At 37.1% G+C, this 25,298-nt stretch overlaps 1 long non-coding RNA gene across 1 annotated transcript in view, besides 1 other annotated feature; it reads right to left on the reverse strand.

Moving 5' to 3' along the window:
- LOC105377008 (uncharacterized) overlaps nt 1–9,630 on the reverse strand; it is a 47,784-nt gene extending 38,154 nt beyond the window's left edge. Inside the window, exons 1-2 of the long non-coding RNA XR_940674.3 lie at nt 9,424–9,630; nt 5,431–5,708 (exon numbers count right to left, since the gene is read on the reverse strand). This is a non-coding gene — a long non-coding RNA (uncharacterized LOC105377008). The remainder of the gene's footprint in view (nt 1–5,430; nt 5,709–9,423) is intronic.
- Nucleotides 24,388–24,457: a silencer, noted in NCBI's record as "silent region_14155". NCBI's record gives its function as "represses an Ori minimal core promoter by ATAC-STARR-seq in GM12878 lymphoblastoid cells {active_cell/tissue: GM12878}" and the evidence as "EXISTENCE:reporter gene assay evidence [ECO:0000049][PMID:35858748]".

Here is a 25,298-nt window from a genome sequence, read left to right on the forward strand (position 1 = left end):
GAAGAGGGAAGTGAGCCACAAGCCGAGCAATACAGGCAGCTTCCAGAAGCTGGAAAAGGCAAAGAAAGAGATTACCCTCTAGAACCCACCAACACCTGGTTTTTAGCTCAGAGAAATCCATTTTGGACTTCTGACCTCCGGAACTGAAAGATAATAAATTTGTGTTGTTTTAAGTGTAAATTTATAGTTTGTTACTACAGATATGTAGCCTAATCTTCCTATCATCTCGAACTGGGGGAGAGATTTTGAAAAGGGTCTAGGTTGGACTGTTCATGACCCACATGTAATTCCAAGATTGAATGACTCAGAATTAAAAACATATGTCTACATAAAAACTTGTACACAAATGTTCATAGGAGCACTATTCACAATAACTAAAAAGTAGAAATAACCCAAATGTTTATTAGCTGATGAGTGGATGAAAAAATGTGGTGTATCCACACAATTGAATATTATTCAGTCATAAAAAATAATGAAGTGTAGATACATGTTACAGCATGGATGAACCTTGAAGACACTGTGCGAACGAGCCTGGTTGGAAAAGGTCACAAACAGTAGGATTTCACTTATATGAAATGTCCAGAATAGGCAAATTCATAGAGACAGAAAGTGGTTGGAAGAAGCTGAAAGTAGGGAGTTATAAATGGGAGTGACTGCTAATTGAGTATAGGGGGTTTTTTGGGGATGATTAAATGTTCTAAAATTAGATAATGGTAATGATTGCACAACTTTGTGAATATACTAAAAACTACTAAATTATATATGCTAAAAGGGTGAATTGTATGATGTATGAATTATATCCCATTCTATCTCAATAAAGCCATTATTAATTTAGAAAACCCCCACATTTTTGGAAATGTATTAATGATCAGTTACTGAGTTCTGATGTGAGTTGGTAACAGGATTTTCTCTGGGAGAAATGAACAAAGGAATTTCTCACTTGTAATCATTTGGGAGGCAGGTCTTGGACTGTTGTGAAAGAAAAACTGTTTTCACTTTTCTGACCTTCAGGTTATTGGGAGCTTAGATTCTGGATGTGTCAGTCAATTTAAGTTAAGGTATATCACATAAATACCAAATAAAACAAAACAAAAACTAAATTAGAGACTCTTAATAGCACAAGTTTATTCCCTGCTCATCCTTTATGTCATCACAGGTCATCAGGCGACTCTATTCCTTGTCTTTTTCCCTAGAACTTGGATTGATGGTACAGCCATCATTCCAAAAATTGTTTAGCTCACAGCAGAGGGGTCAAGCTCTTGAGTTCTTACAGTGACAATTACATGCTTTAGCCTGCATGAGTTACAAGTTACTTTTACTCAGTGGCCATAGCTAGCTGCATCCTCCACCCAACCAAAGGTAGTCAGGTAGTGCAATATTACCATTGCCCAGAAGAGTACAAATTGGAAACATTTGGGGAATAACACCAAAGACTACAGTTGTAGGCTGAATAATAGCTCACAAAGATATCAGGTTCTAATCCTTGGAATCTGTAAATGTTACATTATTGGAAAAGAGTCTTTGCCAATGTGATTAAGCTAAGGATCTTAAGAGTGGGAGATCATCGAATTAGGCCCTAAATGACACAGTATGCATCTTTATAAAAGGAAGGCAGAGAGAGATTTGACACAGGCAGAAGGGGAAGAGGCAACGTGACCATGGAGGCAGAGACTGGAGTCAGGCAGTGAAACAGTTGGTCACCAGAAGCTGAAAGAGGTAAGAAATTTTCCCCTAGCACCTCCAGAGGGAACGCAGACCTGCTGATACCTTGATTTCCACCCAGTGAAATCTGATTTTGGACTTCCAGTTTCTAGAACAGTGAGAGACTACATTTGTGTTGTTGTAAGCCACCAAACTTGTAGTACTTTGTTACAGCAGCCACAGGAAGCTAATATAACTGTCATATTAGATATGGTAGCTGTGTTTTGGGTACTTTATTTAGGACAACTAAACTCATCCCTTTTGCATAGTCATATGTCCATAACCACACTAAAGCCAAGCAAAAGAGCTAAAGAAAGAGGAACCCAATAGTGACCCACAATCAAAAAACTTAAACCTGTGAACTCACAGGACTGACAGAATCAAACCAGTCACTTTTCACTGGAATCACACTGCACTATCCTCCAGACCTTAGGAAACTCTCACTGAAGGTTATGGTGCTGTCTTTACTAAAAATAAGAAGGTGGCCTAAAATCGACAAGAAGAGAACAGCAATAATTATATTGCCTTGGCCTGTGGTCAGAGCAAGTCAGTTGGCTGAAATGACAAATGACAACCATTCTGGATCTTGGAACATATAGGCATTCCTCAAGTATTCCTTGAAATAATTGGGAAAGAAAACATTGTCAACATACGGATTTCCTGATGTCTGTCAAGCAAAATGGAATTCAAGCTGTACTGGCTTGGGATATTTAAAGGAAGTGTGACACTATAATAAACTTAAATTTTTAAATAGAGGTGCCCTTGGAGGAACATTTAGCACTATTAATTCATTATGCTAATGAAAAACCAAAGCTCGCAGGAATTGTTAGAGCCTCAGTTCCTCGATCTTTAAAATAGAAAGTTTGACAAGACCATCTTAAGTAATTCAATTCTTAAAGACTTGGGACTCTATAAATTAACTTGATAACAAGCTCTAGCATTCAATATTGGAAAGAAATCCAAAGTAGACCTGGATACTTTAAAATTGTGCATATGAGATAAAATTAGCATGCTTTTTAATTTTTTCTTCTTTCTTTCTTTCTTTCTCTCTCTCTCTCTCTCTCTTTCTCTCTTTCTTTCTTTCTTAGAGTGCAGTGGTATGGCTGACTGCATCCTCAAATTCCTGGGCTCAAGCAATCCTCCTGCTTCAGCTTCCTGAGTAGCTGGGACTACAGGTGTGCATCAGCATGCCTGGGTGATTTTTGCTTTTTTTTTTTTTTTTTTAGATATGGGGTCTTTCTCTGTTGCCCAGGCTGGTCTCCAGCTCCTGGGCTCAAACAATCCTCCCACCTCAGCCTCCCAAAGCATTGGGATCACAGCATAAGCCACCACACCTGGCCTCATAAGCAGTTTTCTTTCTTCTCAGGAATGTTTCTGGGGTCAAAAGTGATTATTATAGAAGTAATAATCATCATTAAGGATGGTTTAATGCTAAATATAAAGTGGCAAATTACTAAAAAAAAAGCTTATGAAAATATGCCTTGGAACATTTTGGTAAATAGTGGATGAGCAAGGGAGTGAGTGGGCAAATAACATTTTTAAAAATCTCGAAAACAAAAGCATATAGTCATAGTCTTTCATCTAAAGTGCTTTAGAAAATATGGCTCTACCTCCAAAATATGTATAAATCTGATCACTTACCACCTTCACCGTTTCATGTTGATCTAACCACCATCATTTCTTGCCTGTGTTATTTCAGTCTTAAACGGTTCCCTGTTTCCACTCAAGCCCTATAGTCTATTCTTAATACCACAGCCAGAGGTATCCTTTAAAAATGTATCAGATTGTCACTCCTTTGCTTAAATGTCCCTTCACCCAAATAGCTTCTCATCTCATGCAGATTAAAGCTAAAGTCCTTCCAATGCTTACAAGTCTCCTCTGAGCTGGCTGCCCACTACCTCATTAGCTCTTTCCTACCACTCTCCTCACTCACTGGCTTTGGTCTAATCACACAGGCCACTTCTATTCTTCAAACACACCATGCAAGCTCTCACCTCAGAGCATTTACATTTCTCGTCCCTCTGCCCAAATGCTATTTCAAGTCACATAGTGGCATGACTCCCTCCCTCATTTCCTTTATTCCTGCTTAAATGTCACTTTTTCCTTACGGTCTTCCCTGATCACCTTATGTAAAACAGCAACAATAACCCCTCCCCAGCTTGGCACTCTCTATTTCTCCTCACTTAGCTTTTTCTCCATTGTGCTAATCACACAATGAATATGTTCATTGTCTGTCGCTTTCTGTTAAAATGGATATAAGAACTGTGTTTTATTCACTGCTGTATCCCTAGAGCTTAGAACAAAGTCTAGGACAAAAGGGATACTCCATAAATATTTGTTGAATGAATAAATGAATGCAACTTATTTATTTGTTTGTTTGTTTGTTTGAGACACGTCTTGCTCTGTCGCCCAGGCTGGACTGCAGTGGTGCAATCATGACTCACTGCAGCCTCCATCTCTACAGCTCAGTTGATTCTCCCACTTCAGCCTCCTGAATAGCTGGGACTACAGGCACGTGCCACCACATCAGGCTAATTTTTAAATTTTTTTGTGGTGACAGGGTCTTCCTATGTTGCACAGGCTGGTCTTGAACTCCTGATTTCAACAGATCCTCCCACCTTGGCCTCCCAAAGCATTGGGATTATAGGCATGAGCCACCATGCCTGGCCACTAATGCAGTTAAATATTAGGAATTTGTTATATAATATTACAAGAAGTTAAGAGGTAATTTTCCACAAGTCTGTCTCAGTTGTTCAATGGTGTCATCAAAGACCTTCCACTATGCCATCTTCAGGGTGCTGGCTCCTGTCATATGGGTTGCTTCAAGGTTGCAAAATGGCTGCTGCAGTTCTAACCATCACAGTCACTCACAAATATTTGCATGCAATCATTCAGTTAGTAAGTAAATTTTATGAGACAGTACTAAATACCAGGCATTATTGTAAGCATGGGAACATAACCATAAACAAAACTGAGGAAGTCACTACTCTCATGAAGCGAGCCGGGCTGGAGTACAGTGGCACAATCACAACTCACTGCAGCTATGACCTCCCAGGCTCAAGCCATCCTCTTGCCCCAGTCTGCCAAGTAGCTGGAATTGCAGGTGTGCACCATCCTGCCTGGCTAACTTTTGTGTTTTTTGTAGAGACGAGGTCCCACTATTTTGACCAAGCTGGTCTGGAACTCCTGGGCTCAAGCAATCTGCCCACCTCAGCCTCTCCAAGTGCTGGGATTTCAAGCATGAGCCACCGTACCTGGCCCTCTTTATATAACTTTTAATCATGAAGAAAAATATTTCTCTGAAGCCACCAAACTTCCTTCATGGGTCAGCATTATGTCACATGAGTAACCCTCCTTATAAAGGAAGCTGGGAAAGCAAGTCTCCAAAATTTTCGGCCTCTATCATGACAGGTGGTCATGATAGAGGAAAGAAGAAGTAAAGGGAACAGCTGCCCAAGAGGCAACCAACAGTATTTGCTACAAATCATGCTAAGCATAGGTAGTCATTCAGTATCTGCTTTTTGATAAAGCATTAAGGTTGACAATTATTGCCCTGTGGCTGAAATTTAATATTTCTCTCTGAAAGTTTTTGCCTTCTAAGTTTCTGTCACTTATTCTAACAGCCTTAATCATGCAGCAGCTCCAACATTCTAACAAACATGCTTTGGAAATTCACCAAGAAATGCTGGCTTGCTCCCAGGACTAAGTGATGGCATTTAATTTGCTCACCTGGAAAGAAGGACAATTCCAGAAAAGACCATTTCTTCTTGTATTACTTATTGGTCAACCAGCAACCTTTAAGTCAAAGCTGTGAATATATATAATCTGTCAGGCTTCTCTATGTTTTCTTCAGGACCAAGCCTCAGTTTCAAACTTCTTTTGTCCAGTGTAACTGCAAGACCCACTTTAGACTCTTCACTTCGCTTCTCCGTGGGCAATAAAGCAGCAGTTCCATCACCATTGTCCAAACAGCAAATGAGAAGTGATGTTTCAATATAAGCTACTGTCTGGAAAAGAAGAGAAAGAGGCAGCTTTTCTGACAGAGCCGTTCACACTTTTCCTGCACAGCTGGGAGACATTAGCTGAATTTCCCCAGACTGGTCTGCTTTCTGGCATGGTAAATTAAAAACCCTGAGAGCCTCCAAGGTAAGCTGGATTTCTATCATACACATTTAGCAGCTAAATCACCAAAAGTCACTTTCGAAAATTCACGCAAAGCTGCATCTTTACCCAAGGTCAAGAGTTCAGCAGAAGTTAGCACAAAGGGGATTGTGGGCAGGAGGCAAGAAAAGGGAGAGAAAATATCGATAGATTATCTCTATTCAAAAGCTGCTTTTATTTTGAGGAACTTTGTGCTCAGAAAAGTAGATAGAAGATAGTTCTGCAATAAATAGTATAGGACATATATGAAAAGAATAAATAATATTTCAATGTATGTCAATTTCCATTTCTGCCACCATATTAAGGAGATGGGAAGAGCATTAAAAGAGCCATAGGCCCATCACATTGGTTCATGCCTATAATTCCAGCACTTTGGGAGGCCAATGTGGGAGGATCACCTGAGGTCAGGAGTTTGAGACCAGCCTGGCCAACATAGTGAAACTCCATCTCTATTAAAAATACAAAAACTTAGCCGGGTGTGGTGTCGGGCACCTGTAATCCCAGCTACTTGGGAGGCTGAGGCAGAAGAATCGCTTGAACCTAGGAGGTGGAGATTGCAGTGGGCCAAGGTCATTCCACTGCACTCCAGCCTGGGTGACAGAGTGAGACTCTGTCTCAAAAAAAAAAAAAGCTAGATTTTGGTCCCACATCATGACTAATTAACAGTGAGATTTTGAACATGTCATTTAGCTATGGGGCTCAAAGTCCTATCCCCTTCACTTTATGGGAATTTAGTTATGAAAAATTCTATTTCCCCAGGTATTTTGTGATCTATTATCAGCTTTTGATTCCATAGATAAGGACAATCTCTGGGCTTTTTGTTTACATTCTGCCTTATTCCACAAGGAATCTCAGGCTGCTCTGTGGGCCAACTTACATGACTTTGGTGTAGATCTCAGATTTTAAATGTTTATCTAAATCAATATGGCAATACCAGAATGGATTTTGAAAGAGTCAATTCTAATTTTAAATGGCTTAAAACCAGACTGCACCTAAACATTTTTATTTATAATTTTTGCCTAAGTAATTTATTCTGGCTCAAAAGATCTATATATTTTCTCCTATATATGCCCCAACATATAGATAAACATAGAGACAAGCATCCTTCCCTATGCTGATGATGTAATCTTACTATTATAAGAATATCCTCAAGAAAAATGGAACCTGCTGGCAAATTGCCAATTTGAATTTAAAGAAAAAAAGAATCTTATCACAAAGAGACCATACTTTTTGCATTTAGATCTGTGGTTTCTCTATTTTGTGAACAGGGGGATCTCTGGGGCAGGGCTAAAGAGAAAGAGAAGAGGCAAGTGGTTGTGGCTCCAGCCTCACCCCACCCCGAAAGAGGAGTGTTTTTGTTTGGTCATGTGTTTATTTATTAGACTTCTACACAAATGTTATTCAAAAAAAGGAACTCACTGATTTAAAAAAAAATCTGATCTAGGTGAAAAGAGGCAAAATCAGGAGCCACTGGAATGAATCTTGCCCATGGAATTTTTTGTCCTGTAATACATCATTAAAATGTTTAGATATGTTGCCAATATTTAATTATTTTACATAAAAATTCTGGATTTCTGGGTCTTTTGACAATTGGGGAGGACTGGAAACACTGAGATGCATTCCCACACAACAATGAACTGGAGCTGTGTATTAGCTGAACAGCTTTAGAAAGTCACACACTTTCTAATTCACTATGTCCCCGCTACTCCCTAGTTTTTATCCACCTAATTGTATTCACACATTTATTTCACTTGTCTCACACTTGGGGGAATTCTGGGAGGTGGCCCTAATCTACATGTATCTCAACACCAGTACATTCTGGTATGTTGACTGGGATGTGCTCCTACTTAAAATTAAACTTCTGAGTTGGCCACATTGAGTCTATGGGACAGGATTCAGTAGCTTCAACAAAGGGTTTGTTTCAGCATTTGAACAGATCCATGGACTTTGCCCTGCCTTAGCTGCTTTGAAGTGTTTTATGAAGAGGAACTGGTTCCATCTGGGCATAACTTCAAGTGGAACTAGGAGGCCGTCAGTTTTCTCATAATCTCTAAAGAGGTATGATTGCAAATCTGCCTTTAAACAGCAGCTCAGAGCTTCTTCACCCTTCTACACTGTACAGCAATCTCAGACAGAATCGTAGTCAAGAGGAGACATACTGGAAAATTGTCTAAAGCAGTGCTTTTCAAACTTGTTTTTACTACAACGTGCAGTAAGGGATGTATTCAGCCACAGGTATACACACTTCCACATGCACACACACACACTCATATACACACACACAAGTTTTATGTTACAGTACTTACCCTTAATACAAATACTCTATTTGTACACATGTACATATGAATACATATGAAATCCATTTTTTCATTCCTTAAAGTGCTGTTGGTAACCTACTATCTAGATCTCACAAATTGTAGGTCATAATTTGCAGTTTGGAAAACATAGGTTTAAAGAACATGCTGTTAATTCATCTCCTAGATTTTTAAAGTTCTCTCTTCATATTAGCTAAATTATAAAAACATGCCTATATGATATTATTTTAGTTCTCTATGGACCTGCATCTCTGAATTATGAACTAATATATTACCCTTGCTTTTCATCAGGTGCTGTGATAAGAAATGGCCATTTTCTTGCCAAGTGTCCCTTGTAGGGCAATATTCCTTTATAGTGTGACATACTGTGTTCCTCTTGGAGTCCAAGAAAAGTTGATTTTCCTGACTGGTGTGTAATCTTCTACTAGATAATCATTATTGAATAACATCTTTTATTTCCCATTTTACCGTAACTGTTAGCAAACTTACAACTTTAGTACTTGCCTGTTGTAGCTTTTCTTCACCTAGATTCTCTAGTCTTATTATTTCTTTCTCCATGTCTGCAATCTAACTGCCTTTGCTTTCGTCAGTTCTCATCTAAATTACTACAATAGTTTCTAGTCACTTTCCCTGCCTCCTCTCATTCTAATCCTTATTCCACACTGCTGTGGAATGATTTTTCTAAGACACAAATGTGATGACCTAAAGAGAAAAGATTATTCCCCTGCTTCAAATTCTTCCATGGACCTCCTTGAACATCAGTTTCAAGTGCTGTGGCTTGCACGTAAGGATTTTTTTGGAAACTAGGTTCGATAAATATTGCTTATGTAATATTAACATTTGTAATTCTCAAAAAACTTTGATAGAAAAAAGAAAAACATCTAAAGGGCCAATAAACAATGTTGATCAAATGATTGTGATATGATTTTTGGTATGTGCATACGGAAGTTTAAAATGATGCCTATATACCTAAGAATATTCTTAACTATCCAACGAAAGAAAAAAGTCTACATATGGATCTTAAACTAGCAACTCAAAAGCCAGATTCATCCCTCGTTTAGCTTGTCATGAACAATGTTTTAGATATTGGATATCTTTACATGGGCACTTGGTTTCTAGTTCACTACTCTCAAGCTTCCTACACATAGTTCATCACATTCATTTTAGTTACCTGCCAGATCCCTAGTGGCTTCAGAATTTATCGTATTTGTTAGAAAGTTGAAAGGTTCAAGAGAGGTTTTCTCACCTTAATCTGTTCTTCTCCCAAATGTTGGTTTTGCTTCTGCTTTTTGTATCCTTTCCAGGTTTGATTCTAAAAGCATCTGAAATCCTAAAGATAACAGAGTTGTCTTCCTATCAGCTCAGGAAAAAAGAAAAACAAATAAAAACTTAGGTAAAGTTTTTGAAAAAGGCGTCTCTGATGAAGTGGCATTTAAGCTGAGAAATGAAGAATGAGGAGGAATGGGCTATGCAAAGCAACAAAGGATGTTCTAAGAGAGGTAACAGCAAGGGCAAAGGGCCTGAGACAGGAAAGAGGTTAGTGTGTTAGGTCAATGTGAGCTGGACTTAGTAAGAAACAGAAAGAACTGGTAGCATGTTAAAAAACATTGCCAAGGTTGGGAACATGAAGCACTCCATAGGCCATGATAAGGAGTGTAGATTTTGTTCAACATGCAACAGGAACCCTTCAATACTTTTGGGTAAGGAGTAATTGGTATGATTTCAGTTTTTAAAAGATTATTCTGCTGCCATGCAGAGAATGGCTTGTACAGGGCTAATAAAGGAAGCTAGGAGACCTTCTAGGAGGCTACTGCAATAGAATAGGTGAAGGATGATGGTGGCTTGAGCTAGGTGACAGCGGTGGAGGTGGAAAAAGTAGATGGACTTGACATATATTCTGGAATATAAATTGTAGGAATTGCTGATTGGCTACATGTGAAGGTGATATTTAAAAAAGGACTAATTTCAGGACCATTTCCCTGGTTTCAGGTATTATTAACTGAGTGGATGATGGTAACATTTACCATGAGAAAACTGAGGAAGGATGAAGGTGTATGGCAACTGTGGCCAGGGAGCAGGGAACAGCCATGGCTAAGCATTTTATTCTAAGCATGTTCAGTCTGAAATCTATCAGTCATCAGATAGATGGGATTTAGAGGAGAAGTTCTAGTCTTGAAACACAGATTTTACAACAGATAAAGACAATTTTGAACCTTAGTCAGAGAGTATAAATAGGAAAACAAAGGGAGGAACTCAATCCAAGATCAGTGAAACTACAACAGTAAGAGTTGGAGTAAAGGAAGGAGAGCCAGCAAATACTACTGAGAAAGTGCAGCTAAAAAAGAAAGAAGAAAACAAGAAGACTCTGGTGCCACCAAAACCATCTAGAAGGAAAAGTTTTTAACCTTACTGAATGATGCTGAAAAGTTAAGGTAAGATCTGCATAGGATTTTGCAAACTGAAGGTGGTTGGTGAGTAGTAGAATGGAAGCCAAATAGAAAGGGGTTGAGGAGAAAACGTTAAGTGAAAAACTGGTGATGGCATATGTAGGGATAAGCTGAGCTTCTCAATGAGTAGCTTTGCATATCTGCATGGGCTCCTTGGGTAGCTTAAAGCATTACGAAAATATGAAGTTGCAGAACATGGTTTTACTATGTATTTACCATGAGAGTGCCTTTCAGTTTGAAGTCACGTTTTCTCTTGATTCAGTTGCTGCTAATGTTTTTCATCCAGCTATTCTTTTCAAAGACAGTTTTACAACTTGGCTGAGATCATTCTGCTTGTCGATACACTTCAGGGCCTGAGGTTATCTCAAGATGGTATGTTGGAGTCTGTACAAGTTTCATTTATTTAAAACTTGGACTTGGTAAAAGAATCTCATGAGATTTAACACCTCGCTCCCCTGGCAGGCTTGGGGAGGGGGAAAAAATCATACACAGCAAGTATCATTTACACCATTCTAACACATTCATAGCACTCTTACCAAATCCTAACGAAGGAAGAAAGAATGTACATGCAATAGGGAAGTTTGATAAATGAGAACTATATGGTTATTTTAAGAATGTATAAACAAATGAGAAAGGGAAAGATACTGACTAAAATAAACAATGTTCTTTTTTTATCTTGAAGAGATATAAGTATTTAGAATGTCAAGATCTAAAAATAAAGTGGATTCTGTACCTCTAAACAAGAGAAAATACTATCATTTTGTACCTTTCAGTATCTAAGCAGCTATTCTCTTCTCTGAAAATGATGCATGAATCACACTGGCCAGTAGAGTTGTAATGGTTAGACTTTTAATATTCCTCATTTTAGAAATTTGGATCTAGCCAGAACATTGCAATTTATCTAAACGCAAATTAAGTCCATTTTAAGATAAGAGAAGAAATTTGTATCTTGATCCTCAGACTACCCTATTGTAGAATCACAGGAACTTCAACTGGAAGAAATCCTAGACATATCTAATCCAAGTTCCTACCTGAAGAACAGAGGTCATCCCAATTCTGCATGAAAATCTTCATGATGGGGCATTCACTACCTCATAGAGATTTTGAGCAGATCTCATTAATAGCAAGTTTGCTGTTATTTCACTAATAATGTCCTCTGTACACGCATCACAAAAAGTCTCTCCATTAAAATGCTTCTTCTTCTGTGCAAATAAAGATGACAAATAATTGTTATCATTTTTGAATGTTTACATGCCATGGAAATTATTTCACGTTTCTTCCCACTTAATATTTACAGTAATATTCTGAGATGTACAAGAGGGCAGGTCTCCAGATGACAGATCATGTTGGCTGACCCAGATCTTCCCTCTCTTGCATGTAATTCTCAGGCAGAATGTACCGAGAATTCAACATCCTGAGATAAGGAGGAAATGCCCAGAACAACCCAAACTGTGTCCTCGTTTCTCCTAGAACAGGATGTTCTGCAATGCTTGAGCTTAGCGTGCCAAATGTCACCCAGGTTATATAAACCCAGGGCAGCATGCTTTTCAGGGTCCCTCAGTTGTGGTGCAACATGGGACATGCACACACGGAACTCCATCCACCCTGGGCAGCTTTCCTGAGCCTTAGGAAGCTGGCTTGCTCTGGTTTCTAGGCTTCTGTTTATCCTTGCTGCCTATAATAAATCTGTGATAAAATAATAATCTACTTTGTCCTACTTGTACATGTATTCTATCTCATCGGACTTAAGCAATTGGTAGACAGCCTTTGCAATGCCGGTGTGTTCAGCTTTGTTAGTGCCATCTTTCTTGCCTGTTCTCCAGCTAAAGAGGATATCAAACCAAATACTTTGTTTCCCAGCCTCTCTTACAGCTAGAAGTGGCCTTGGAATTCCATTTTGGCTACGAAGGCATAGAAGAACATCTGCTAGAGGGATTCTTGGAAACATTTTTTCTTCCTTTGAAAAGAAGAGAGACATGTTTGGAGGGTTTTCTCTCTGTCTTACACCCCCACCTGGTCTCACTTCTTCCAGATTTTGGACTTGAAATTATGAAAATGAGATTTCTGGAGCCACCACTGCCATTTTCAACAGTGGAGGTAAAGTCGGGAAAATCATAGAGAACCTAGAATCCTCACATTGTGGAACCACCAGACTAACCCTAAGCCATGTACTTCTAGATTTCTCATTAAGTAAACAAGTGACGTCTTTGTGAACTGAGCCAAATTACCTGGCTTTTCCATTACCTGAAGCTATAATTATACTAATTGATATAGTAGGCAATGTTATTATCTTTGTTTCATATGTGAGGAAACAGAACAAAGAAATAAAGTAAAAATATTCCAAGGTTGCACGGAGGGCAAAGAGCAGAACCATGACTCAAGCTTACATAGCCTCAGAACAAACACGTAATCTCCTCCAGTTTGTTGAATCAATTTTCACGTATTGTGTTTTTCAGATTCTGCATTATGCTGAATAGCCACATGTTGTCATATTTGGCTTTCTCAATATCTCTCCTAAGTGAGGTTGTTAAAGCCAAGTACAGTCACTCCTAAATCAAAGTAGTGTAGAGAGTAGCAGAGATTATCTTGTTCTGAATACTTACATGAACACAGGCTGGAATCCTATGGGCTTTTTACTCAGTCTCATCACCCTCATATCAACTCAGGTCAAGCTTTATTTTGGCCAGGTGCAGTGGCTCGCGCCTGTCATCCCAGCACTTTGGGAGCCTGAGGTGGGCATATCACTTGAGCACAGGAATTTGAGACCAGCCTAGGAAACACAGCAAAACTCCATCTCTAAAAAAAGTTTTATAATTAACTAGGCACGGTGGCGCATGCCTGTGGTCCCAGCTACTCTGGAGGCTGAGGAGGGAGGATTGATTGAGCCCAGGACATCAAGGCTGCAGTGAGCTGAGATTGCACCACTGCACTCCAGCCTTGGTGACAGTGTGAGACCCTGTCTCAAAAAAACAACAAAAAAAAAGCTTTATTTTTTTTCCCCTCAAGTCCTTCTCACTCTTTAATATTTAGGTAATGAAAATAACTTTAGAGAATTGAAAGAGGTTGCTGAAGAAGCATTTCCTTTACTCATTTGCCTTCACACATACATGCAAGATAATACATAATTCTTTCCAAGGAAATGATAGTCTCTCAATCTTTAAAGGCACAGGGATTCCTAATCTCACTTCACTGCTCCAGTGTTTAAAATTTTTATGATCTTCATTAACTGTATCAGTAAAATGTAAGCACCACAAATGCAGGGAATTTTTGTCCCTCTGCTGTATCCTCGGCATTTTAGTATAATATTTGGCACATATTAGGCACTCAGTAAACATTGATTGAATGTGAATGAGTCTAAGAAATTCTTTCTTCTATTCAGTTTAAGTTTTATTTCACTATATTTTTTGCAAGTGGAAATCCCAAAAGGAATGGCCTAAGGTACAGATGCCTTGTGAAACCCTGATTAGCAGATGGCTATATCTATGCCTTTAATTTGTTCTCTCTTTAATCCATCATCCAGGGAAAGTTTAATACCATTTTGTACACCACTGATGACACTATTTCCTAAGACATTCCATCTAACCAGTCGTTTTTGGATCTCTAGCTGCTGATCTGTCCAAAACACATGGTTGGTCAATGAATATGTCACATGGGATAGAATCAAGAGCTATGTTGGAGCCAGTGAACAGGCTGAATGAGCAAATGAATGAATAAAACCAAGATCTATGCAGTTATAATTTCTGTTTGGTCTTCAGTCTTATCTCCTATCACAAGAGGATTTGTTTCTAACCAAACCTTTTGGTATTTTCCTAATACTCACGTCTCTTTTTTATGTTCTCCTATTGATGCCCACTGTTTTCATAGAAATCTAAATTAGATCTAAGTTTTCCTTGCCTCCCCTAATAACACATTACTCTTCCTTAACCAATCTTAAAAATTTTCACTATTTTTTAATAGTAAAAAAGTATTGATCTCCATGAGTAGGTAATTGCACTGAGATTAGCCAAGGAGTCAGTCCTTTATCTCAGATTTCAGAAGATCCTGTAAAAGTGAATCCATTTACTCCTCGCATCACTTTAATCAACTTTCACCCCTTTTGTTCAATTATTGTACTTAGTCTTTCATGGGAAGCCTATCCTAATTTTTGACCCACTTGCTGTGATTAGGAAAACCCTTTAGCCTAAAAGCCAAATCGAGGCTGAGAGAAGCATATCTAAAGTACCTAGAGTTATGAAAAGAGCTCATCAAAACTGAAACTAGGAAGGGATTTAGGAAATAATGAATTTATAAAGAATGTTTGTATTATTTGAAGTGTGCCCTCTTAACTGGTAAAGATGATCTCAGATAAGGAAAACTAAGATGTGGGTTTCTCTGAGAACATACTCAGAAATATTTTATTGCTCTGAATTTAATCTAACCTAATTGAGTGTTGTACCATTTGAGGATCCTCTTCATAAGCAACAATTACAACTTGGTTTGCCTGCCCAGTGGGTGGAAAAATGTGTGAACTCTTGACCTAGTTGAAGAAGAACCCAGAGTTTGAAGCTACACATCTAAAGTCTTAAGCTAACAGAAACCCAGGTAACTATGGAAACAAAGGATACCCGAACATTGTTAAAATATTACTGGTGCCATTTATCTTTAAGACATTATATGAGTTAAACACCTAAAGGAAAGACAATCATTGCATGCCCTAAGGTTGTGGTTAAATTTCCAACATACCATAGGTAAAGGGGCTTGTCACAAGAGCCACCACCCAGGACTCCCTGTGCCAGAGAATTACTCTAATGAAGTGTTTCCTGGACACTATTTATTAGAAGAATTTCTAACATCCTGACCTACACTTCCAGGGTTCTGGTGGAAGATTCTATGCCACCCCTAAAAACATAAAACCAAACACAGACATTTTTACAAAGTGGAAATAAAAGGACGATGAGTCAGGAAAATGACAGCGTTCTGTTAAATTTTGGCAGGGAGAATTACAGAAAAATCAAAAGTGAAGAAGATGTTGGTAACAGTACTGTAAATGTGTTCCTAGTCTTCTTTCAAATAGATCAAAGTTCCAGGGAAATACATATGTTTGCCAGATACAGCTGTCACATATTCTTGGTGGGAATGGAAATTGATGCAACTTCATTGAAGGGAAATTTACCCAAATTCATAAAAATTTAAAATGTGCTTCCCTTTGGCTGAGCAACTTTATTTTTAGTAGTCTATGCAACAGATATCATCTACATTTTCAAAACTGTATACGTACTGCTTATAAGAATGAAAAGTGATAATATGATAAATGCCCATCAGTACAGAACTGGTTAAAGAAATTAAGGTACATTCAAAAAGTGGAATCCTATATGTCCTTAAAAATATGAGTGATAGGACACAAGCTCCAAATATATTAAGTGAACCAGTAAAATCCATAGCTTTCTCCCCCTCTCTTGTATATGCAGTGAATTTTTCTAGAAGGTGGCACACAACTGTAACTGCTTCTGGACGGGGAAACTAGGAGACTGGAGGAAGAAGAGGAAGGAAGATTGCATTTCACTATACAACAGTTGAGATTTTTAACATGTTTATGTATTTCTAATTTTAAAAATTAATTTAATAAATGTATGTGTCACCATATTCAGAACTTACCAGAGGAGACACCTCACCATAAAATGGTGTCATCAAAACCCCTAGGGGAGAAAGTTTTCACAGGCCAAAATATCTAGACTCCTGAGGAGCACAGACACTATAAAACAGACAAACTGAGCACATGAGGCAGATCTGTGGGGCTAAGGGCTTCATAGATAAATGAGAGTTTTAGTAATTTTAAATAGAACACAATAGCATTGAAATTCAATAGGCAGCAGAAATCATGCCTACTGTCAAGGGAGACAAGTTTGTCACTCATTTGCCATTAAGTCCATGATGAAAGCTAAATATTAGTAAAGTTGCCATAGTTTTTGCAAACTATTCTCTGAGGTATTAATAAAAGAGCTAGAAGAGGGGGCCCAGAGTAATAAAAACCAACCAAGCCAAGAACCAAACAACAGCCACAGTTAGTATCAATCATGGAGGGCCTCCTAGAGCAGGGCTACGAATTAGAGCTTTAAGATGGAGAAAAATAGGGGTTGATAGAAAAATAAAGAGGTTCAGGCAGACAGACAATATGGATGACAATACAAAGGTAGGGCTGAAAAAAAAATCCAGACTTGAAAATAGTCTGACTTGAGCTGAAAAAGTATTAAGAAGAATGAGAAAAGAAGAAAACATTGATGTCAGTTATTGAATAAAAGATTCAGTTCAGATTTTATATGCTAGGCAAAAGGAAGCTACGAGAGATTCTTAAGCAGGTAATTGATAGATTTCCATTTTACAACTCTTATATAGAGGAGAAAAAATACACTTAAAATCACATTCTCAGGCTTCCATTTTAAATCTGCCCTCATTAATGACCTAACATCAGCTATACTATTAAAGTCCTAAGAAATCACCAGTTTTCTGTTGGAAGACATGGTGGGAAACACAGGAGTTTTAAGATTTCAATGGTAATATATTCGGATTTTTCTTCTTAGTAAATCTCAGTTTCCAGAAAATTCACCCTAAAAAAGATTACTCTTAGAATTTTTGTATAACTATTGACATCCTAAAATGTCATGGTCAAGATGTTAGGTTTTACTGGTATTAAGTCATCTTTGACAAATTGAACATGAAAAAGTATTTCTTGCCAGTCAATTAGGTAGTTTTCTCTGCATGCTTAATGATTTCAGGAGTCTTTATTGTGAATTCTGAAGGTAAGATTTGAAGTGTGACTATAGTTGCTTTATAAAAGGCACGGTTGTATTGTATTCATGATAGCTATGCATTTTGTGCTGTTTTCAAATCCAACCATGAATAAAGGCTCATACACTTATTAATTACTATTTTTCACTTCATACTATAACCTGTATATATATATGTGTGTGTGTGTATATATATAAGGTATATATATATGTGTGTGTGTGTGTGTGTGTATATATATATAGGTGTATGTGTGTGTGTGTGTATATATATATATATACACACACACCTTATAATTGGGTAGTTCCCAGGTTTGGGGCCCCAGAATTGTTTGTTTATGTATTTATTCTCTAAACTGAGAGTTTGATAAGAATTGAATATTAAATAATTTGAGGTTATTTTCTTGGAAAGGGTTTTTTCATTTCTTTTTAGCATATAGTACATTCAAGTAATTTTAGATGTCAGAGTGCTAAAAAGGCTTCTAATAAAAACCCAGCCATTTCTTGTTGCCTCTCTTCCCCACCCTTCATTCCTGTGCCCAGAGTAATTTCTGGCTTTTTTCATTTTCTCCTCTGGCATTTGCATCAATATTTTAAAGTAACATACACAACCTGTTTGTTCTAGATTCTGCCTAGAAACCAGACAGAGCTTCTGTTGAATAAGATTAATTTACTTCTTATTCTTGTTTTTTTAAAATGTAACCACTTTTCAAGATTTTTTTTTGTCTCTAATGTTCTGAAATTTCACAATCACATGCCAGGGTATAGCTTTCTCATGCTTTGTATTAGTACTCATCTTTCAGTTTTGAGAAATATTCTCGTATTTCTTTCTCATTATTTTCTTTATTTTTCCCCCTGGAACTTCTATTTATCAGATATTGCACTTCTAGTTTTCTTGACTATTCCCCTATTATTTGTTTTTGTTTGTTTGTTTTTGTTTAACTTTTGGGGAGATTTTCTCATCTTTATCTTCCAAAGCTTCTTTGGGTTTATTCTATTTACTTTTATATTTTAAATTTCTCATTTATTGTATTTATTTTAATAGTATCTCATTCTTGTTTTATTTGTGCAATATTTCTCTTATATTTTGTGTTTTCTTTGAAGTTTTCCTCTTCTTACATTTTCTTTTCTTTTTTTTTTTTCGTGAGCTCTATTTTTCTCCCTTTGCTTGTTTCGGTCTCTTTCTTCTTGGAGATTATCCTCAAATATCTGGTTATCACTGACTGTCCTTTTATGTTCAAGAGCGAAGCGCTAAGAAATTGACTGACATCTTCTTGTACAAGGGTGGCGTTGTATGATGGTGGGTTACACTGCAGGGCAATAGAGAGGCAGCTGGCTTTTTACTTGTGAATCTTCTATGTCAATATTAGTATATCTTTTCTCTGGAGTTATTGTCTCCACAAAAGGAGATTCCAGCTCCTATTTGGGAGATGAAGTGGTGACAAGAAAAGATAAATACACTGGCTGCTGGTGCTCTTCTGGTGCTGGGTAGGGAAAGGAAACAGGATTATCAACATTCAGAACTTTCTTATTCACCTAGTTATACTGTTGTCAGTATGCCACTGCCTTCCACTACCTGTCTGCTGTGCCTGGTGTTTCCAATCCAGAACCTCTACTTTGGTTAATCTAGAGAATAAACATCCAATTTCCTGCTGGAGTAGAGTAAAGGAAGCACTGTGACAGTGCAGGATAGAAGTGACAAGAAATGATCCCATTTTCAGAACCTACCTCCAATCTCTCAGGCTGTCTCAGGTCTATACAAAATATCTGCTTGCTCCTGGTTGTCACCCTCCAAATGTGTGCACACACATCCACACTCACTTAGACGTGGACCTTCCTCCCACCTGCTACATCATTTATGATGACTCCATCTTTTTTCTGTGTTCATGTTTTATTTGAATTAAACATCTCTTGTCTCATTGGCAATGGAATATGTGTTTTTGTTTCTTGTTCCTGTTATTGTTTGGGGATGATCTTTGAAGACGAGGAGTCAAAGGTATTTTAATTAAGCTACCTTGAAATAAAAACTTCCTGGAACATGATTGAAGAGTAGATAATTTCTGTGACTGTTGAGGACTGCCTCAGTTTTAGATCAGCATTGTCCAAAAAAAATTTTTGAGGGAACAAAAATATTGTATTCTGGCACTGTACAATATGGCAAATACTAGCTATATATGGAAATTAAACACTGAAATGTGACTGAGGAACTGAATTTTTTATTAGATTTCATTTTTATTAAGTTAAACATTAATTTAATACCCACATGTGGCTACTAGCTACTGTATTGGGCTGTGCAGTTTTAGACAGTAAATAAGTTGAGAAGCCAAACCAAGATTCCAGGTAGATAGATAGCTGTTTCCAATCTGGCTGTAGATTTGGTCTGTTCTCACTCATAAATGTTTAATTCAATTCCCAAAGTACTATCCTCTACACTTCTACAATATTGTGGAGATTACTTTTTTCCCCCATATCTTAATGCTCAGAAGAAATTACTCTATGCTGCAAGTCCTATTTGTCATTCGTCACCTCTATATAAAATGTCATGAGCATGCCAACAGAATATTTAATTATTTTTAAGAAACTTTTTAAAAAATGGCCAGAATTAATTGACTACCAGTGGCCCTCACCTCTCCAAAGTATGAATTAACTTTTCTACTATAGGAATAATATTGACTATGTATTAACTAAATTTTAGATAAAATGTGCTAAAATTAACTTTTTAGTTTCAGAATAATTAATATTAAATTATCTTATGGCACTTATTGAAGAATCCTTTATTCTCTGAGGCACCTCAACATTCACTGTCATAAAAACACATAATTTATATACAGAAGAAATATTATTTGTTCTACCTGTTGTAGTCAAGAGGCATATATTTACATAATTCTAAAGCAGTTTAAATCATTGAGATACAGGATTAAGAAAAGTACAAATAGGATGGGTGAGGTAGCTCATACCTTTAATCTCGGTACTTTGGGAGGCTGAGGCAGGCAGATCATTTGAGGTCAGGAGTTCGAGACCAGCCTGGCCAACATGGTAAAACTCCCATCTCTACCAAAAACACAAAAATTAGCTGGGTTTGGTGGTGGACGCCTGTAGTCCCAGGGAAGTTGCGGCATGAGAATCGCTTGAACCCAGGAGGTGGAGGTTGCAGTGAGCTGAGATCACACCACTGCACTCCAGCCTGGGTGACAGAGTGAGTAAGACTCCATCTCAAAAACAAGAAGAAAAGAAAACTACAAATACCACAGCTCCATTTTGAGCTCAAAAGAGTAAACAGACTATTTCTGTGGAGTCTAATTCTCATATTAGTGACTAGTAAATAGGTTTCAGGGAATTTTAAGTAACTAGGAGTCTGTATTGATTCTTTGCGAGTCATTCGTTATAGTTCCTACCTCTGGAACCAAATACCAAGGAGATGTATATAAAAGTTGAAAAACATATTATAATAATTATAATGTTATAATAATATAATATATGCTGTAATTATAACAAAATAATAATTTTTAACAGATTTCTCCATGGGATAATAAAGTATAAAAGCATAATCAATGATGAAAGAGCCATTCCAGAGACCTGCTTCCTCTGTGTAAACTATTAGCCTGGGAGACCCAGACTTGCAGGTCATTTAGGAGTCAGCTGGAATAATGTAAAGCTGGGATTTTCATCAAATCGATAGTTCCACACTTGGGGAGTCATGAAATATTATCTTTTTATTTGTAATAAGAAAAAATTATACTGTTAATATTGTACTCATGGAATCCTAACTACATTCACTGTTCTTCAGTAAAAATTTCTTATCACAGTTTAGTTGTTAACAATAATCATTTTTGATACAAAGGTAAACAGAAATACCAAAGAAGCATTTTTTGCATTACCAGGGCCTGATGGTGACTGCTTTGTTATATGTAATATTTGTGTTAAAATTGAAAAGCTGAATACTTATTAGATTCTGCAATTGAGAATATTACCAAAAACATGAATTTTGGTCCCACTTTTAAGCTATTATTCTATTGTGATAATTTGTTAGTCTAAATAAAGGTCTACATCTAAATCCCAGAAAATGATGGCCTAAACCTGGGCCCCTGTGCAATGGGAGTGATGTGTGAATCAAACACACTTATGAAACCCAAGTGTTCTCTGTATACTGAAGGGTACTAATGACTTTAATAAGACTGAAACGTTGTGCTTAAAGCAAACTGATTGACCTTGACAACAGAAGTGTAAACAAGAGTCTAATGAATATTAATTTTTCTTCTTTCCTGCATTAGCTGTAGCTGTTGACTGATTAGCTCTGACACCTACATGGTCAAATTAACAAGCACATTTGTAAGACATTTTCCATTGTTTATAATGTCAACAAAATTTCTGAACCTTGGTAGGTGACTATTAGTAAGTTATCATCATTTCTTAGAAATCTACCAGATTACATTTAAAACAATCGCATATTTTAGCTCCCATAATGTATAAGATGCATATTTTGAAATGGATGCATATAGTTCCAATAATTTATGATGGGATTTCAGAGGCTAAGCCAAAATGTAATAATTATTCCATTATTAGACTTACACATGAGCTGGATTAGTTATCAGCAGCATTGATGCAGGGCAGGTTTGATGTATCCTGAGCTACCATATTGAACTAAGTGCCATTTCCCATTGTGCCCTTGCCATCTGTATAATGACATCAAAGGAGAGAAGGCAGGAGCAGATGGCATCAATGGCATACAAGAGCAAAAGTCACACCCACAGCATGCTGCTGAGTAATGAAAGTGAGGTGATGTGCAGGCAGAGAGCAGACGGAAATTAAGAAAGGTCATGGTGGTGCTATGGACTGCTTAGCTCCTACCATCATTACAAGAGCAGCATGCTCCACTCATTCCTACCTTCCTTTTTATGAGAAATGCTCTTCTACCATTCCTAGCATGTGCTTCTAGCAGGGGTTGTCGTGTTTTACAGGACCCCCTTCTTTCTGGCCATAGTTGATTATCCAGGAGGTCAGACCCTGACCCCATTTGGACCCCTTTTGTCCAGAATTTGAACTAGGTAAAAAGAAGTATTCTCTCTTCAATTAAGGAGGGACACAAGATGAAAATGTGCGATCTGTCAGTAGTCATGTCTCCAGCCATGAGTAGAGACCCATTCATTCTACAGTGAGAATGACAAATGACATCACCATGAGGTGAAAAGCGAAGACAGGAAATATTTGAGGCTGGGTTTCAAAGAGTAAAAAATATCTGAAATGGAATAGAGATGGAACTCAGTTGAAACTGTTTCTATTGATCCCTGTTCATGCAAGTAAAGACATAAACTTTTACAGGCCATAGTGGAAATGTGTAAAAACTACAGCCTCCAACCTTGTCAGCAACAGTCAAGACTGGCCAGAGCAGCACCTAGATCATTTTCTTCCCCCTATCTAAACCTGTAAAATAGGCTGGGCCTTTTTATAGTTAGCCACTTTTCTCCCAACAAGGAAGACAATTTAGCTTATGCCCAACAATGCCTGACTGTCTTCAAATTTTACTTCATTCAGAAAACTGATTTGGGACTCTTGAAGTGTTTGATTAATACTCTAGATCTAGTAGAAGCAGACCACTACTATAAATAGATCCTTAGAGATCAAAACATTGGAATGGTTGGGTTCTCTGTTGTAAGCATAATGTGGGTTATCTCTGCAGAGGATTAGAGTTAGGGAGAGAGGTAGTAAGCAAGAGGGAATCTTCAGTGCATCTATATTGATTTCATTATTTTATAGTGATAACATTGTAATAATGATGTGTGAAGTTTCCTGGTAAATAATGTATATATATTACTTCATTATATTCTGGCAACAACCCCATAAGGCCAATACTAAAATCATCACCATTTTATAGATGAGGAAACTGGGCCACTGCCAGATGAACTTACTCAAGGTCATATGACTAATAATTGACAGATCCCAGGTGCTAACAAGATAATCTAGAGTCTGTGCCCTTAACTGCTATGTCCTACTATGTCTAACATGAAGGAAATTTATTCATGTATTAGTTTTGTTAATATCAAAGTAATAAAGGCTTTATATTTTTATAAGTTTGGAAACATGTACACCAAAATGTGAACAGTAGAAATCAATTTTTAAATATTAGGGATAATTGTTATTTTATTTATTATTTTAAAAATTGTTATTTATTCTTTCCAAATAGGTATGCTTTACTTCTGCAATAAGAAAAAATACCATAAGTTTTCATAGTAACACAATTCAAACCATCTTGTGAGACTTTCCACTCTGTCACAAGGGAACTCTAAAGTATGCAGCAGCTTCCTTTCCAACTGGTAATTGGGTCATTCTGTTCTATGCTGATTGGCAGCAAGAGTAAGATTTTGCAGAGATGTTGCACATGTTCTTTTTAACCCCTCTGGCACAGTGTGCTATTTGGGAAAATGTATGTTATACCAAATAAATATGAAGATAGATGTAACAAGGTTGGTTTGCAACTGATACCTGATTAATACTATAAAGTATGAGCCCTGAAAATTTTCTCATGGTACAGTGAATATAATATCTGTAATTTCTGTAATCTCTGTCTGGGAAAAGTCATGCCTAACAACTTGACTAATACGGAGTAGCAGCATGAAACTGAAAAGAACATGAGATTGGGAATTAGCAGACTGAGATTTATGGAGAATGGGTAATTTATCCTGTTAGAAAAGGTTTTAATTCCAACGGACCTTAAATTTTGTGACCTTGTGCAAGCCATTTAATCCTGTTGGCTCTTAGTTTTCTTGTAAATATTTAGTAGATTTTAATTTTAAAATTATAATATTCCATGATTATATGCTAATATATTTGGTCATGTCTGAGGAACTCACTGTTATACTTTTGATTAAAAGTGAAATTTCCTGATCATTCAAAAACTGAAATTTCCCATCTTTTGGACAGATGTATAACACTCCCTCAGGGAAACAGGCTGCTATAGTTACTTAAATGTGTTTTTTTTTTTTTATCTAAATGAAAGTCAAGTATACACATCTGAAAAGGCAGGGCTGGCTGGTGAAAGTAACCCATGAGACATGTGAGTTTCAGGCTTGTTATCAACAGCACAATGGATGCCAGCTTTCAGCTCACATAGAGTAAGCAGCATTTAATATTGATAGCTTCAAGTCAATGGTTTCTGACACAGATTCTAGCAGAAAAGAAAACAGACATGTATAAATATTAGTTTCTGCCTGAAGACAGTTTATTTAGTAATGGGATGGCCTATTTCTAAAAAACTTTATTTATCTCTCTAAAAAGAAAACTGAAAGTAAAAGGGATCAGTTCTCAAAACATGGAAATTGCTAATGAACACAGGGGAACTTGAGAGTAAAGGAAATGTTCTATTTCTTGATTATGGTGGTGGTTACATAAGTGTATACATTTGCCAAAACATTTAACTGTATAATTAAGGTGGCTGTATTTGATTATATCAATAAAGTTGATTTTTTAAAGAAACCTCATGGGTACATGTCAGCATATTCATATAGATTCCTTTTCATTTATTTGTGCTAAAGATAATCAAAAATCCCAAAATGCTTAACTTAAAATATGCCTACCTTTCAACTCAGAAATTTCAGCTCAATAAATTATCATTGTAACGAAACACTAACTGATGAGAACTAAAATTTATTTTCAAGGATGTTCCCTGCAATGCTGCTTATAATAGCAAAAAAAAAAAAAAGATACAATGTAAATTAACTATGGAGAATGGCAGCCGGGTGAATAATTAAGACCCCAGACACTGAAGCCAGGATCTTCAGTTCAAATCCTAACTGTTGCTTAGTAGCTGGAAACGTTAACAGTTTCTTAACATCTCTTGCCTTAGTTTCCACATTTCTAAAATGGGGTTAATAATGGTGCCTATTTAGCGGTATTATTATGAGGATTAAATAAGTTAA

The sequence above is a fragment of the Homo sapiens genome, chromosome 3 (assembly GCF_000001405.40).
Source record: "Homo sapiens chromosome 3, GRCh38.p14 Primary Assembly".
NCBI lineage: Eukaryota > Metazoa > Chordata > Mammalia > Primates > Hominidae > Homo > Homo sapiens.